This window comes from Homo sapiens, chromosome 5 (genome assembly GCF_000001405.40).
Source record: "Homo sapiens chromosome 5, GRCh38.p14 Primary Assembly".
NCBI lineage: Eukaryota > Metazoa > Chordata > Mammalia > Primates > Hominidae > Homo > Homo sapiens.
In genome coordinates, this window is record NC_000005.10 from 165,045,307 (window position 1) to 165,062,979 (window position 17,673).

General features: G+C 36.0%; 1 long non-coding RNA gene across 1 annotated transcript in view; it reads left to right on the forward strand.

The window, feature by feature from the left end:
• LINC03000 (long intergenic non-protein coding RNA 3000) overlaps positions 1–16,428 on the forward strand; it is a 765,030-nt gene extending 748,602 nt beyond the window's left edge. Inside the window, exon 5 of the long non-coding RNA XR_001742489.2 lies at positions 10,833–16,428. This is a non-coding gene — a long non-coding RNA (long intergenic non-protein coding RNA 3000). The remainder of the gene's footprint in view (positions 1–10,832) is intronic.
• Positions 16,429–17,673: the final 1,245 nt, after the last annotated feature.

A 17,673-nucleotide genomic window follows, 5' to 3' on the forward strand; every position in this document is an offset into this window, starting at 1 on the left:
TCAAGTCATTTAAGGACTTCTCTACACTGGTTATTCTAGTTAGCCATTCCTCTAATCTTTTCTCACGGTTTTTAGCTTCTTTGCGACGGGTTCGAAAATTGTCAGGTTTGTTATTACCAGTCGTCTGAAGCCTTCTCTGAACTCGTCAGAGTCATTCTCTATCCAGCTTTGTTCCATTGTTGATAGGAGCTGCATTCCTTTGGAGGAGAAGTGGCACTCTGATTTTTAGAATTTTCAGCTTTTCTGCTCTGGTTTCTCCCCATCTTTGTGGTTTTATCTACCTTTGGTCTTTGATGGTGATGTACAGATGGGGTTTTGGTATGGGTGTCCTTTCTGTTTGTTAGTTTTCCTTCTAACAGTCAGGACCCTCAGCTGCAGGTCTGTTGGAGTTTGCTAGAGGTCTACTCCAGACCCTGTTTGCCTGGGTATCACCAGAAGAGGCTGTAGAACAGCAAATGTTGCAGAAAGGCAAATGTTGCTGTCTGATTCTTCTTCTGGAAGCTTCATCTCCGAGGGGCACTCGGCTGTATGAGGTGTCAGTAGGCCCCTACTGGGAGGTGTCTCCCAGTTAGGCTACTCGGGGGTCAGGGACCAACTTGAGGAGGCAGTCTGACCATTCTCAGATCTCAAACTCCATGCTGGGAGAAGCACTGCTCTCTTCAAAGCTGTCAGACTGGGACGTTTAAGTCTGCAGAAGTTTCTGCTGCCTTTTCTGCTAGGCCCTGCCCGCAGAGGTGGAGTCTACAGAGGCAGGCAGGCCTCCTTGAGCTGCGGTAGGCTCCACCCAGTTCAAGCTCCCCGCTGCTTTGTTTACCTAGTCAAGCCTCAGCAGTGGCCGAAGCCCCTCCCCCAGCCCTGCTGCCACCTTGCAGTTCGATCTCACTGCTGTGCTAGCAGTGAGTGAGGCTCTGTGGGCGTGGGACCCTCTGAGCCAGGCATGGGATATAATCTCTTGGTGTGCCTTTTGCTAAGGCCATTGGAAGAGTGCAGTATTACAGTGGGATTGTCCCTATTTTCCAGGTACCATCTGTCACGGCTTCCCTTTGCTAGGAAAGGGAATTCCCTGACCCCTTGTGCTTCCCAGGTGAGACAATGCCCCGCCCTGCTCCATGGGCTGCACCCACTGTCCGACAAGCTCCAGCGAGATGAACCCAGTACCTCAGTTGGAAATGCAGAAATCACCCGTCTTTTGTGTTGCTCACCTGGGAGCTGCAGACTGGAGCTGTTCCTATTCAGCCATCTTGGAATCTCTCCCTTTTTCCATTTTTAATTGGTGGGAATCGCCATTATCTGTTTACAGTAAAATCCCTGGAACATTTTTACCACTCCTCCGTCTCTTCAATGTCCGGCCAATTAGTGGTGAATAAAAGGATCTAGAAAAACGCTTAAAAATATCTTAGATTTCACTCAACTGTTACACATTTGATGCATTCATGTTTTCTCAAAATATTTTTGTGTCAGTGTAATAATTTTATATAAATGGAAAAACGGTGTGTTTTCTGCTTTGTGCTATTCTTTATCCAAGTGATTATAACGTGTAGTTGGTAATGTTTACTTTAAATTTATTTTTTAACTTAATATTTTGAAATAATTTTAGACTTCCAGAAAAGTTTATTTCTGATATATACAGGACCCTAATGTGTACATTTTACATTACTATGAAGCCTTTGTCAAAACTAAGAAGGTAATACTGATAACCATTATTAACTAAACTTCAGACTTTATTCAGGTTTCCCAAGTTTTTGTGTTTTTTGTTTTTAATCAATGTTCTTTTTCTCTTCCAAAATCCAAACAAGAGGTCACATTGATTTAGTTGTCATGTCTCCTTAGTCTCCTCTAATATGTGACAATTTCTTAGTCTTTTCTTGTCCTTCATGATCTTGAAAAATTTTAAGGATTTTGCTTGTTTTCCAGAACATCCCTTAGTTTGGTTAGTTTTATGCTTACTCATGATTAGATTGAGGTTATATATTTTTCAGGAATTAAACAAAAGTTATATGCTCATCTCAGAGAATCAGATCATGAAGTACATGTCATATCACAGGTAAAATTATCTTGATAACTTGGTTAAAGCAATGTCCGCTAGGTTTTCCTCACTAAGGTCAACTGTCTTTCCCTTTGTAATAGATAAATATTTTGGTGGAGGTAATTTGAGAAACTACAACATTAATTTCTCTTCAAACATTTTTTTCTGCTTTCTCAGTTTTGTTTTGACTTTTCTAGTTTGTTTTTCTAAACATATGATAGAATCAGCTTGTTCATATCTATGGAATATCTGCAGGACTTTTATGGAGATTGAATTAAATCCCTACACCTATTTGTGGAGAAGTGTCATCTTAACAATGATGAATCTCCCAGTGTGTAAATATAGTACATCTCTCTATTTATTTAGATTTTCTATTGTTTCATTGACGCTTTGTATTAGTACACAAATGCTGTACATATTTTAGATTATACCTCAGTATTTAATTGTTTTTTGGAGCTGTTGTAAATGACATTTTTAAAGTTTTAAATAATTATTGCTAGTTTATGTAATATAATTGATTTTTCCTTTTCTTTTTCTTTTTTTTTTTTTTTTGAGACATAGTCTCGTCTGTCACCCAGGTTGGAGTTCAGTGGCATGATCTTGGTTCACTGAAACCTCTGCCTCCGGGGTTCAAGTGATTCTCCTGCCTCAGCCTCCCGAGTTACATGCCTCTGCCACCATGCCCAGCTAACTTTTTTTTGTATGTTTTGTAGAGACAGGGTTTCACCATGTTAGCCAGGCTGGTCTCGAACTCCTGCCCTCAAGTGATCCTCCCGTCTTGGCCTCTGGATTATAGGTGTGAGCCACCATGCCTGGCCTATAATTGATTTTTGTATATTGACTTTGTATTCCATACCCTTACTAAAATTCAATTATTAGTTGTAAATTTTTTTTTGTAAATTCGTTGAAATTTCTTTTGTTTTCTTTTCTTTTCTTTTTTTTTTTTTTTTCTTGAGACAGAGTTTTGCTCTTGTTGCTCAGGCTGGAGTGCAATGGCACAATCTCGGCTCACCGCAACCTCCACCTCCCATGTTTAAGCTATTCTTCTGCCTCAGCCTCCCGAGTAGCTGTAATTACAGGCATGTACTGCCACGCCTGGCTAATTTTGTATTTTTAGTAGAGACAGGGTTTCTCCATGTTGGTTGGGCTGGTCTCGAACTCCTAACCTCAGGTGATCTGCCTGTCTCAGCCTCCCAAAGTACTGGGATTACAGGCATGAGCCACCATGCCTGGCTGAAATTTTCTATGTAGACATTAATCACGATCTGTAAATACAGATGATTTTGATTCTTGCTTTCTAATCTGTATATATTTTATTTTTGTTTTTTGGTTTAATTGAACTGCCTAGGACTTCTAGTACATGTTAACAGGGGTGCTGAAGGAAGACTCCCTTATCTTGTTCCTGAACTTAGGGGAAACCATTCAGTATTTCGTCTTGAAGTATCATATTATCTCTGTTTTGTTTTTATTTTTGTTTGTTTTTCTCCTTATATATCCATTACAGGGTTAATGAATTTGCTTTCTATTTAAAGTTGCTGAGAGTTTATATTAGGAATGGATATTAATTTTTTCTAAATGCTTTTTCTGCGTCTTTTGAGGTAATCATGTATTTTCTTCTTTTCTGTAAAAACAAGTTGAATGGCATTAATTCCTTTTCACATGTTCAGCCAGCCTTGCATTAGGTGAAACCCCATTTACTGAAACTGTATTATTATTTTTAGAATATATATGTGTGTATATTTTATATGTTACTAAATTTGATTTATTAATACTTGGTTGAGGAGTTTTGTGCCTATGTTCATTTCTTCTTTTTTTTTGTCTTCTGCCTTCCTTGAGGGTAACTTGAGCTTTTTTATTTTTTCTATCATTTCATTTTACTCCATTACTCGCTTACTATTTATTCCTCATTTTAACTTTTGTGTGTATTTATGTCTGGTTGTCCTAGTGTTCAAAACAAGGATCTTCTTAAATCCAAGCCTATCTTCAAATGAAATTATACTACTTCATGTGCAGCAGCAGAACTTAAAACATATACTTCTAATTCCTCCCACTCATTTTTTTGTGCTATGAATGTTATACTTTACGTTTACATTTGGTCTTAACAAATTAATTTGCTAGAATTTTTGCCATCTATGATTTTTAGTGTTTTATGTGTAGCTAACTTTGTTTTAAACTTCTAATTTTAGAATAGTTTTAAATTTACATAAAAATTGTGATAACAGAGAATTCCCATAAACCCCAAACCCATTTACTCCTATTTTTATGTCTTGTATTAATATGGTATATTTTTGACCATTAATGAGCCAATATTTGTACCTTATTAAAGTAGATTATATACTCACGTGAAGAACATGATATATTCAGTTTTTACCTGATGTTATTTTCCGACTCAGGATCCCATCTAGGATACCACATTACATTTAACTGTCATATCACCTTAGACTTCTCTTATCTGTTACCATTTCTTAGACTTACTTTGTTTTTGAAAAGCTTTACAATTTTGCAGATATTTTGAAGATAAAACAGTTGTGAAGACAGTCTTGAATTCATTTTGTAGAATGTCAGTTAGGATCTGTCTTATGTTTTTCTCATGACCAAACTAAGGTTACTGGTTTTGGGGAGCAGGGTCACAGAGATAAATTAGCATTTCTCATATCAAACTGCCTCACCTCAAATCAAAAGCCATAATATGAACTATATTATTACTCTCAATATTAACCTTGATCACTAAATTTAGGGAGTGTTTGTCATGTTTTTCCATTTTAAAGTTACTCTTTTTTGCTCCTTTTCCGTATTCTTTGGAAGGAAGTCTCTATATGCAACACTTCAGGAGTAAAGAATTATACCTGTCCTTCTTAAGGGGATGTATTTACATATATTATTTGGAAATCTGCATGAGATATTTGTCTATTCTCCTTTATTAATTTATTTACCTATTTATTTATTCCATCGTTTATTTATATCATTCTAGATGCAGGACATTTATTTTATATTTGGTTTATAGCCTAATATTACTATGTTTTCAACTTAGATTGTTCCAGTATTGCCATTGGAAGCTCTTCTCGTTATCTTCTGTGTCCTTTTGATAGATTCCCATCATTGTAGATTTTAAGCACTTCCTTATTTTCAGTACTAAAAGATATTCCTGGCCTATTGTGTATATGTCTTAATCCTAGAAACACCAATTTCTACAAAGAGTGTTGATTCCTTTTACTGCATAATTTTATTAGAAACAAAAACCTGTGTGTCAGGTGTGCTTGTTGCTAGTGAGGTATCATTGCTTGGGGCCCTTTCAACTGATAGATTAAGAAAGTATATGTGAGTTACCAACCTGTATATATACACATATCTATAAATCTTTTTATGTTTAATCATATGCATATATATTAAGATAAATATGAATTTATATCAATATCTCCAACTCTAATTCATTACCGTATAGATTATATAGACTTCCTCCTTTTGCTTATCTAACACCACAAAAGAGACTCCTGGCTCTCATCAGCCACCATCCTTTTACTTGTTTTGTCAATTCTACTCTATATGTATAGTGTTTTCAGAATTACTAGTCCATATACCCTTGAGGAAACAACTTGATGAACTACTGTGCAGTGCTTATGTGCAATTCCTCATGCCTTTAACTTTGCAGACAGCATTCATTTTCAAAGTTACTTAGATCAGCACTGTCTTCCTCCAGTCCCTTCAGTTACATTATTTTATGTATTTGTAATTAAGTTAGATTTTTTTCATAATTTGTATTTCATCCTGAGATTGCCCAATAACCTCAGTGATTTTTTTAAATTAGTGTAGCCTTTTCAGACTGATTTATTTTGCTTAACAATATGTGTTTAAGATTAATAAATGTCTTTGCTTGGCTTGAAAAAATCATTCTTTTTCATCTCTGAATAAGATTTTATAGCACAAGTATGACACATATGCCCAGTTTTTGGCAATTGTGTGAATATTTGTGTGCAGTTTTTTGTTTGTTTTTGCAGACCTACATTTTTAGATAGGTAAATATATAGAAACATAATTGCTAGATTGTGTGGTGAGATAATGTTTAGTTTTGTCAGAAACCACAAAACTGCTTTTCACAGTGGTGGTAACAGTCAGTTTGCAATCCCACCAACAATGGATGTGAGTTCCTGTTCTTTTTTATCCTCAACGGCAATTGGTATTTCAGATTTATGGATTTTAGCAATTCTAGTGTATGTATGGTGGTAACGTTTTTATGTGTAATTTCGAATTATAAAATGACTATTTTAAGCATATTCTCACATATTTATTTGGCTTTAGAGTATCTTCTTTGATGAGTTAACTATACAGATCTTTTGCCCATTTAAAAAAATTTTGGTTAATTTGGTTTTTTACTTTTTAAGTTGACATTTTTTTTTTTTTTTAATTAGCTGAGTATGGTGTCACATGCCTGTAGTCCTAGCTACTTGAGTAGCTGAGGTGGGAAGATCGCTGAGGCCAGGAGCTTGAGGCTGCAGTGAGCTAGGTCATGCTAGTGAACTCCAGCCTTGGTGACAGAGCCAGACTCTGTCTCAAAAAAGAAAAATTCTTTGTATATTTTGGAATGTGGTATATATGTAGATATAGATACATGCACACACACACACATACACCATGGAATACTACTCAGCCATAAAAATAAATGAAATTGTGTCTTTTGCAGCAACGTGAATGGAACTAGAGGCCATTAACTTAAGTGAAATAACTCAGCAACAGAAAGTGAAATTCCCCATGTTTTCACATGTCAGTGAGAGCTAAGTTATATACCAACGGACTTAGGAAGTGGAATAATAAGACACTGGAGACTTGGAAGGGTAAGGGGGATGAGGAATGAGAAATTACTTCATGAGTACAATGTACACCGTTCAGGAGATGGGTACACTAAATGCCCAGGCTTCATCGCTCTGCAATATATTCATGTAACAAAAGTTCCCTTATACCCCATACATCTATAAAAATATTTTAAAAAACATTTTTAAATGGATTGTGCTTTTGGTGCTATATCTAGAAACTTATCACCAAATCCAGCATCACAGAATTTTCTTCTCTGTTTTCTTCTAGAAGTGTTATAAGTTTGTTTTGTTTTGTTTTTGAGATGGAGTTTTGCTGTTGTCGCCCAGGCTGGAGTGCAGTGGTGCAATCTTGGCTCACAACCTCTGCCTTCTGGGTTCAAGCGATTCTCCTGCCTCAGCCTCCCTAGTAGCTGGGATTACAAGCATGTGCCACCATGCCCAGCTAATTTTTGTGTTTTTAGGAGAGATGGGGTTTCTCCGTGTTGGCCAGGCTGGTCTCGAACTCCCAATCTCAGGTGATCCACCCATCTTGGCCTCCCAAAGTTCTGGGATTACAGGCGTGAGCCACCACGCCTGGCCAGAAGTCTTATAAGTTTTGCATTTACATTGGAATCTGTGGTCTATTTTGAGTTAATTTTTGTGAATGGTATATGGACTAGGTTCATTGTTTCAGCACCATTTATTAAAAGTCTAGCCTTTCTCTATCAACATACATTTGCACCTCTGACAAAGTTTAGTTGACTGTAGATGTGTGGGTGTATTTCTGGCTTCTCCTATTCTTTTTCATTTGTCTATATATCTATTATTTTTTCAATACCATTCTATCTTGGTTACTGTAGTATTATAGTGAGTCCTGAAACTGAGTAGTGTGATTGCTCCAACTATTTTCTTTCTCTGTACTGTTTTGTTTATTTGTTTTGTCTTTTGTCTTTCCATATATACTTTAGAGTCAGTTTGTTGATGTTTACATCAGCTTTCTGGAATTTTTCATTGGAACTATTTTGAATCTATAGATCGAGTTAGAAAGAACGACAACAATATAGAATCTTCCAATTCATGAACATGGAATATCTTTCCACCAATCGTCACACACCACATGACGACATTTCAGTGACAGACTGCATAACAACAGTAGTCTCATATGATTATAATAACATTTTTTCTGTACATTTTCTATGTTTAAGATATTAGATACACACGTACTTACTGCTGTGTTACAACTGCCTTTGTTATTCTGTACAACAACACGCTGTACAGGTTTGTAGCTTAGTAACAAGAGGCTACACCACATAGCCTAGGTGTGTAGTAGGCTGTGCCTTATAGGTTTGTGTAAGTGTACTCCATGATATTTGCACAATGACAAAATTGCCTAACAACATATTTCTCAGAATATATCCCCATTGTTAAACTATACATGACTGTATTTGACTCTTCTTCAATTTCTTTCATCAGTGTTTGGTATTTTTCTGCACACAGATTCTATACATAATTTGTTATGTTTATATCTAAATATTTAATTTTGGGGTGCTATTTTAATTGGTAGTTTTAAAAATTTTAATTTTAAATTTCATTTTTTCACTGCTGGGCTACAGAAAAGCAACTGACGTTTATATAATAACCTTACATCTTGTGACTTTGCTATATTCTCATTAAATTCAGGAACTTTTATCTAATTCTTTGGGATTTTCTACCTAGAAAATTATATCATCTACAAATAAAGGGAGTTTTGCTTTTTCCTTTCTTATATGTATACACTTCTCTGTTTCTTGTCTTAGGGGAAAGGTGTCCAATTTCTCACTATTAAATATTGTCAATCCCCAATAAAATATTTGGGTACAGAGTCTCTAATGAACTTTCCTTGTTGGCAACATTTTACACATGTTGTTATAATTCATTAATGGATTGAATTAAGCACTTCCTTGTGAATTAATTGGGAGAGGATTTGTGGAAGCTTGCACCTGACTTCCCTTAGACTTTACTCATAAGCCTTTCTCTTTGATGCTTATAGTTGGTATACTTTCATTGTAATAAACGATAACCATGAGTATGATCACATGTTGAGTCCCATGAGTTCCTTAATGAATCATCAAACCTAAAACAGAATTTGGAGACCCCCTCTGTTTCTATTTTCTGTAAGATATCTTGAAGAACTAGTATTGTTACTAAATTAAATTCTTGGTAGAATTTACCAGGTAAACCATCTAAGCCCAGTGTTTCCTTTTTGGAGGGTTATTAGTTATTGATTCAATTCCTACAGCAGACATAGGAGTATTCAGATTGTTAATTTATCCTTGTGTAAATTTTGATAGATTTGTCTTTCAAAAAATTGGTTCATTTTATAGCAGCATGATTTATAATCCTTTGGGTATATACCCAGTAATGGGATGGCTGGGTCAAATGGTATTACATGGCACATGTATAATATGTAACAAACCTGCACATTGTGGACATGTACCCTAGAACTTAAAGTATAATAAAAAACTAAATTAAATTTTAAAAAATGGTTCATTTTCTCCTTAATTTTGGAATATATTTTTTCTCGGTGTATAATTCCGGTTTGATAGTTTAGTTTCTTTCTTTCAGTGCTTTAATAATGTCATTCCATTGTCTTCGGGCTTACCTAGGTTCTGATAAGAAGTCAGCTGTAATTACTCTTTTTCTCTGTATGTCTTTTCCTCCATCTGTCTATAAGATTTGTGTTCAGCATTATGAATATAATACTTTTAAAAAGTCATACCTCTTTGTGTTCTCTGAGTTTTTGATTCTGTGGCTCAATATTTGTCACATTTTAGAAAATTGTCAACCATTGTTCTTCACATATTTCTGCCTTATTCTCTTTTTACCTAATGCAACTCCTAGAAAGCATATTTTAAACTATTTGTTATTGTCTCACAGCTTCTGGGTGCTCTATTCCTTCCTCCTTCTACTCCTCCTCCTCTTTTGTCTTTTTCTCTTTGTGTTCCAGTTTAAGTATTTTTTGTTTACCTGTCTTCAAGTTCACTGATTTTTGCACTTGGCTGTTTTGAATCTACTGATGAGGCCTAAGGCATTCTTTATCCTGTGATCGTGTTTTTCATTGTGAGCATTTCTATTTAACTCATCCTGATGATTTCTGAATCTACTAAAATTGGCCGAAATTACTCATTTAATTTTGCATGTCGTCCACTTTTTTTCCATTAGAACCTTTAACTTAATTTTTGTTATTTTACATGTTTTATGAGATAGTTTCAATATTTGTGCCATACTTCTGTCAGGTCTGTTGATTACTTTGTCTCTTTCCAGTGTGTGCATTTTTTTTTCTTTTTCTATTCTTATGCCTTGTAGTTTTGTTGTTGTTCTTAGTGAATGCCAGACAACTTGTACAAGACAGTAGATAATGATAGTACATAAATAGTTTTTATCTCTGATAATGGGTATGTCTTTCCTTCTGTTGGGCCTTTAGTGTGAGGAATGTATTCATTGTGAGCTGAAATTGGGTTGAGTTTGAGGTTTGTTGTTGCTATGGTTACCATCATTGTACCACAGGTTTCAAGAAACTCTAATGATACTTTATGGTAGGGTGGAAGCTTTGCCAGAGGGTGTTTCTCAATGTCTGTTGTAACCTCAGTTTTAAGTCTTACATTTGCACTTGCAACGTGGAGAGTCTGTCTCCATGTTCTTGCATCTCTCCAAGAAGTATTACACTGTAACCTGTGATTCAGTGTTTGTAGACTGGTTGTGGGGGGATAGCAGAGTAAGTTCTCTTTTGTTCTGATTTAGTCTCAGTTTTAGGCAAACACTGTGCCCCTGGGACTCAGGGATGTGGCCTTTTCAGCATCCCTGCCTTTCTCTCAATGATGTGTCTAAGCTCAACACGTATTTCTGCCCCTGCCTCTCCCTCAGGAGTAGAAAAATTTTGCCTTTCTTTCTCACATTGCAGTATGTTGTTATAGGTGTCCTAAGATGATAATGTTTTTACCTTTTCTCCCACAGATTAAGGTTTTTGTTCCATATTGCAGATAAGGCAGAAGGATCCAGCTGAGAACCCTACTCCAATGGCTGTTCTTCCCCTCTCCCAGTCCTGTTCCTTGAAGGGATCCTTTCTCAACCCTCTCTCTCATTATTTTTGTGAGTATTCATTGAAAGACCTTGGGGAGAAAGAGTTACAAGAGAGTTCAAACTCCCCCTTCATCTTTAGCCTTCTATTTATCCACTTAGACTACCATAAAATACCAAAAACCAGATGGCTTACAAAGCAGGGAAATGTATTTTTCACAGTTCCAGAGCTAGTAATCTAAAATCAAGGTGTCAGCAGGATTGGATTCTGGCAAGGCCTCTTTTCCTGGCCTGTCAACAGCCACCTTCTCACTGTGTCCTCCCATGGCCTGTCTACTGTGCCATGTGCAGAGAGCGAGTGCTCAGGTGTCTTTCTCTCTGTCGTATGGACATCAATTCCATTGAACCAGAGCCCTGCTCTCCTGACATCATCAAACCCTGACTACCTCCCAAAGGTCCCATTTCCAAATATCATCACATTAGAGGGTAGGGGTTCTACAAATGAATCAGAAGGGAAACACAAATCAGTCCATAATAGGCCCCCTTGGAGCTTCACATGCTTTTGCTAGCCCATATGTTGCCCCCTTCAACTTCTTAATTATTTCTAACTCAGTTCTTATGACCGGAATTCTGCTGTTTCTATTCCAGTGAAACAGGTACTCATGTCCCATATCTCTCTGCAGATGCTTATCTCTGTTTATGTTTTGGGGTAGTGGGTAGATATCAACTCTCTGTTAGGTTTAAGAAAAGTTGTAATCTTTTAGTTTGCCTGGCTTTCTCAATTTCTTTCTCTCTTTCTTTTTTTCTTTCTTTCTCTCAGCTTTCTAGGTCTCCTAGTGGTCACCAACATATTTTACTTTTAGGAGCCAAAGTTCAGGTATTTTTCTTCCAATGGAATAAATTAATTTTGTGGTAAACGCTTAGTCTTATTTCACAAACGGTACAGAATATATAGCTCAGGTCTCTGAATCAAATTAATCAAAATATAACCTACTCTCAAGCGAGTCCTAACTTATGGCAGTAATAGAGTTGTAGAAGATCCAAAACTATTTCTTATTACACTGCCCCTATGAAATGGACATACTCTAACCAGAGCTCTGAGTTTATTATGTGCCCGAGGCTGTTCATGTGTTGTCTTACTTAATCCTCATAGCAAACATTTGAAGTAGCCAACAGGAAAATGAGGCTTAGAGTGACTAAGAAATGTGCCCAGGGTTGTACATCTAGCAAATAGCATGGATAAGATATGAACCAAAGCAGCTTAACTTCAGAGCCTACACACTTAATCACTGAACTCCTCTGTCTCCTGAGAAATGGAAGTAACCTTCAAATAATCATATGCTGGTGAATGAAAAATAAAATCCATTATCTACTTTCTGAGTTACTTGGCCACCCTTTTGGAAGGTGAATAGGGATTAGTTTTGTTGGTTTTACAAATTCATAAAAAGAGGCCTCCATGAAAGTTTTGAAATAAGTCTTTGTTCATCTGTGTGCTGGCCCAGGTAAAACAACTGTTATTGTTTTGGTGTACTTAAATAGGACATGTGTGTTGATCTAAAATATACACTTAGATTCAGTACTTAGATCTGAGCTAGTGAGCTTTTCATTGTATGGTGAATGACTTTTTCACAATTAATTGCTAATGAGATCCTCCATTGCGTAGAAAATATTCAGAATAAAACTTCAAAATTTTAATGAGTAAAAGTGACCAACGTTTGACCTGTTTTCATAGACACATAATTGAACAATAAGTAGCTATCCTAAAATAATCATGGACTCCAATGGGAGTGTGGTTGAAATGATAATTACTATATTACACTGATTGATTAAGGTTGTGAAAAGTTATTAGTGCGAGGGTGAAGGGTCACAAATTTACGTTGTCCTTAGTTTAATTTGAATTCTGTCAATAAAAGTGGAAATAATTGTTGTACTCATATTTTATAAAAAATTATTCTCTCTTCCAATTAATGTCTTTGTCATTCTGTAAGCAATTAATCCAAAAATAAATTATTGCCTACAACCGTTATAGAAAACATGCCTTATAACATTTTCTAGTTTTTTTTTTCCCGAGTAAGTCTATTGACATAAACTACCACCAACTAAATGTAAAGAAATTTTAAGGGAGAGGAGAATTTTTACATAATTACTCATTCAAACTTGATTTAAAAAGTTGGGAAGGAAGAAATTAATATTTATTCATTGCTAATATGGAATGTTCTAGATATTTTGCATATTTTATTTTGCTATAATAAAATTTGATAAGACACGTTATTTATTCCTGTTTCATAGATAAGGAAGCTAAATCTCATGAGAGGTTACAAAACTTAGCCAAATTCATGTAGATTTTAAAAGGGGTAGTGAAGATAGTTTTATCTGCTTTGCTTCATATTCATTCACCAGCAAAATCACAGTGTAGCCAAAATACATTTCAAAATAACTTTTAAAAATTATTGGCCTAATTTTTTAAAACCTGGTAATATCTTCAAGGTTCCTATTTAATACGTCATCCACTGGTTATTGTATGGAGCCCAACAGGGTACAAAATTGTTCGGAAAACATATATGGGGTTAATAATTTTTCAAATGTCTCTAGTAACAGGGTGGTTACTCTGTTATCCCTTACTCTCTCGGCAAAACTATTAGCTATGTAAACATGTGACATTTATGACTGGAGGTGTTAATAAGGCCTCGTTAGAGATTTCAACCATAATTAGCAGTAATTACCCAGCAAAATATTACCAAACAGAAAAAAGAAAAAAAAAGAATAAGAGAAAAAAAATAATAAAAACACAAATAGAAATAGAACCAGGCAGACTTATTTTCAAATTCTGGCTCCAACACTTACCCAGGTCATGTGATTTTGAGCAACCAGCTTAACCTCTGAGCTCACTTTTCTAAGTTGTCAAAAGGAGATAATGTCTGCCTTATGTGGTTATTGGAATATTCAGTTATGTAAAGATTTCTAGCACAGCTCCAGCACCAAATACTCAATAGCTGTCAGTTTCTTCTTTTCCTTCTTCTTTTTTTTCCCCTTGTGTTAATGTCTAATAATCAGCACCATTCCTAAATTGTCCTAGAAAGTGGCCATCAGCATGGGGTTATGTTTTAAACCATATTGCTAAAAATAAACCAGGACCTGAAGGAGATGCCACTTGATGTGGTAATAGTTGAAGCACCGATGGTGTCTTACTTTATACTAAAGTGGAAATGTAGAAATCCCTTAGGATGATGACTCTTCACGATGTTCAGGAAGCATTATTCTCCATAGAAGGAGAGAATTGTTTTATATTCTTCCTTGATAATGTGTCTCATTACACCTTTCAAACATATACATTTCATTACACACTTCTATTAAAGCATCTCATTAAAACTTTCAAATATGTACATCTCATTACATTTCCTTTAAGCATCTTTACATATTCTCCATTTGTGGATTTCATTAAAGCCTTTCCCTTGTATATCTCATTACTAAACTACTTTCATGTATGTTATTATAACCTATATTTCTCATTACGTTACTTAAACATGCACATCTCATTACACCTTTCTATTTATGCATCTCATTACACTCCTCAAAAATGTGTATCATATTACATCTTTCTTCTCCTTTGCATATCGTTACATTTGTCCAATTAAGCATCTCATTATGCCATTTCCTTTATGCATTTTATTATATCCTTCCTTTTATCCATGCCATTACACTCCTTAAACCCAAGTATCTAAGTAAACCTCTACTGTGTGCCATTGTATACACGTCACAGGTATGATCTTCGTTTTTCCATGTGTCACTTTTCTGGCACCCTTTGAAGATACAAATCTTGGTCTGAGGGACTGAATTGCTTTTTAAATATACATATCTTATCACATATTTATTACATTTTAGAAAATGTCCCTTTTATACTTTAAACTATTGTTTTTTTCCTTTTCTATTAAAACCTTTCAAGAATAAGTGACTCATGCTCTCTTTAATAATGTCGAGTAATAGGTCTCACCACACCCTTCAAATAGCAACATCTCCTGTATTAGAGACCTTTGCATCCATAAGCTTTCTTATATTCTTTTCAAATATGTGCATCTCATTGCTGTCTCTTGGATATGCAGTGTTATTTACCCTTGATCAATTACATTTCTTTTCCTACCTTAAATCTCTCTGTCTTAGATGGTTGGGGTTATAGCATCTGTTCGTTATCTTCAGCCATAAATGAGATTTCTCCTGTTGTTTGTTCTTCTCGAGGTTATTACTTTTCCTCTATACAAATATCCTCTCTCCCTGAGGCAATAGATGCCTTTGGAATAAATTAAGGAGTCAAATATAGCCAAATGGTCTGTGAGTTACTTTACATAAATTCTATTTTATTATGAGAGCATTTTTGTGGTGGTGCTATTCAAAAGCATCAAATTGTTGCAACCTCAATATTCACTATGCTTTAATTGTGTGATTTTTGTGAGTAATAATCAAAGAAACTTTTGTAGGACATTTATTATATAGACATTATAATCAAGACTCTATCAACAACTAATCCATTAGAATCTAAATAATATATCCAAAATTCTGTAAATTGGAGTGTAAATTGGGACACCTGCCAAGTATAGTGACTTGATAACATTTATAGAGTATTGACCCATCCAGCCCAGACATACCTCTGTCATCAAAAGAATACTAGTTAGACCAAGTAGACTTGAATTTAAGCCACACTCCCTTCTACTATGTGAAAATTGGGCAAAGCTTCTTAATTTCTTTAAGTATCTTTACCATGGCATGAAGATAACTTATACATCTACCGCCCATTAATGTAGTTGAAAATATATATGTATCTATCTCCTATTAAACAGAGATAATTTTTGATAAACATGTTTTAAGGTGATTTGTGCCATTTTTTAAATTTCTTGTTTAGTCATCTTTTATCATTCTATGATAATTTCTGAGCTCCTACTATGTTCCAGGTACTGTTCCAGTTGGCAATATAACAAGAAGAGACAAGATCCAGATTCTAATGGAAATCTATTTTTTGGGGGGAGATGTAGATAATTACTCAGGATGTAAAAAGAATGAACAAAATTTCAGATAGTGAGAAATATAACAAAGCTGAGAAGCAAATGGTATATTGAGACATACAGATGCTTAATATTTGATGCTTTTGAATAGCACCACTACAAACAACAAAAAGTAGCTGTTATTACCCCAGGCCAGAAGGACAAGGGCAGGGGATATGGTGTCACAGGAACTGGATGAAAGCTGGACACTGAGAAGGCAGTCTTCCAGATAGGAGCTGTGGTTCTAAAAGGATGAAGCCAGTGACAGATCTATAGCACTAAAGAAGAGAAAAGAAAGGGAAAAATAGCCCCAAATTCTTCCTGCCCCTTCTCTGCTCTCTTACTGCCACTTGCCATTGTATGAGTCCAATAGGATAGAAGAAAGAACCATGGTGATACATGCTGTAGGACACTCCACTTGAAGACCCTAATCAGAATACATAAGTAGTCTAAATGGGAAGAGAACACACAATCCACGTCCACTCTATGTGATTTTGCCATGCCTAACTCACTACATTCCTTTTTTTTTTTTTTTTTTGAGATGGAGTCGCCCAGGCTGGAGTACAGTGGCACAATCTCGGCTCACTGCAACCTCCACCTCCTGGGTTCAAGCGATTTTCCTGCCTTAGCCTCCTGAGTAGCTGGGACTACAGGCGCCCGCCACCATGCCCGGCTAATTTTTTGTATTTTTAGTAGAGACGGGGTTTCACCGTGTTAGCTAGGATGTTCTCAATCTCTTGACCTTGTTTTCCACCCCCCTCGGCCTCCCAAAGTGCTGGGATTACAGGCGTGAGCCACCGGGCCCAGCAGTTACCACCAAAAGATTTTCTTATGGAAGAATGTATTTATTCTTAAAATCCCAATTGAAGACAATATTTATGTTATATGATTAAAAAATTGCCTAAATCAATGAGCTCAACTGACATTGCTGCTCCCCTGTTCGCTCTAGATCCACTGCACAAGTTCCCTGACAAGAAAGTTTACATCAGTGGGACGGCAGGAGCTGTTCCTGCCGAAACCAAAGAGCATACCCTGATCTACCTGGCTCTGCATTATCTTCCCTAACCTACTCTCCAGTATCTCCTCATTCATCTCCCTTCCAAACTGTGTCTCAGTCACTGTGGCCTATTTTTTCATATTTGTTTAGTAAACACAGGTTGTTGTCCTCTTCTGATTCGTGGAACTCTGCTGGAAAGTACTTTCTCCACATTTTACCATGGCTGCTGCTTTCTCATTTGTTCCAGATTGAGCTCAGTGGTCACCATATCAGGGGGATATCCCAGGAGAGCCCACTTATCTAATGGGTCTCCCAACATTATACTCTCATACTCTTATCACAATATTTTTTGTTTTCTTTCTCTCTTTTTTTTCATCACTTAACAACCTACTTGATACTCATATGTTACCTGCCTCCCTCACTGCTTGAGCTCTCCAAGGTCATCATTCTTGTTCCCCCTCTTTACTTGCTTATCACAGAGTTCCCATTACCAAAAATACTTCATGGTACTTAGTGATCAATAAGAATTGAATGAATGAGTGAAGTGGGTAATGATTTTCCTAAAATTTATTATTTACTCCACTTGCTTAAAAAAAAAAAAAACAGATTCTGTGACCATCATTTAGATAGGGGAAACAATATAGTATTTTTTTTTTTTTTTTTTTTATAAAAAGATAAAGAGTATGTGTCGATACAAGTAGTGGGCATAGTTGGCGTGCCTTTCCATTACCAAGGAAGTATTCAACACCAAACTCTCAAGGGGATGGGTATATT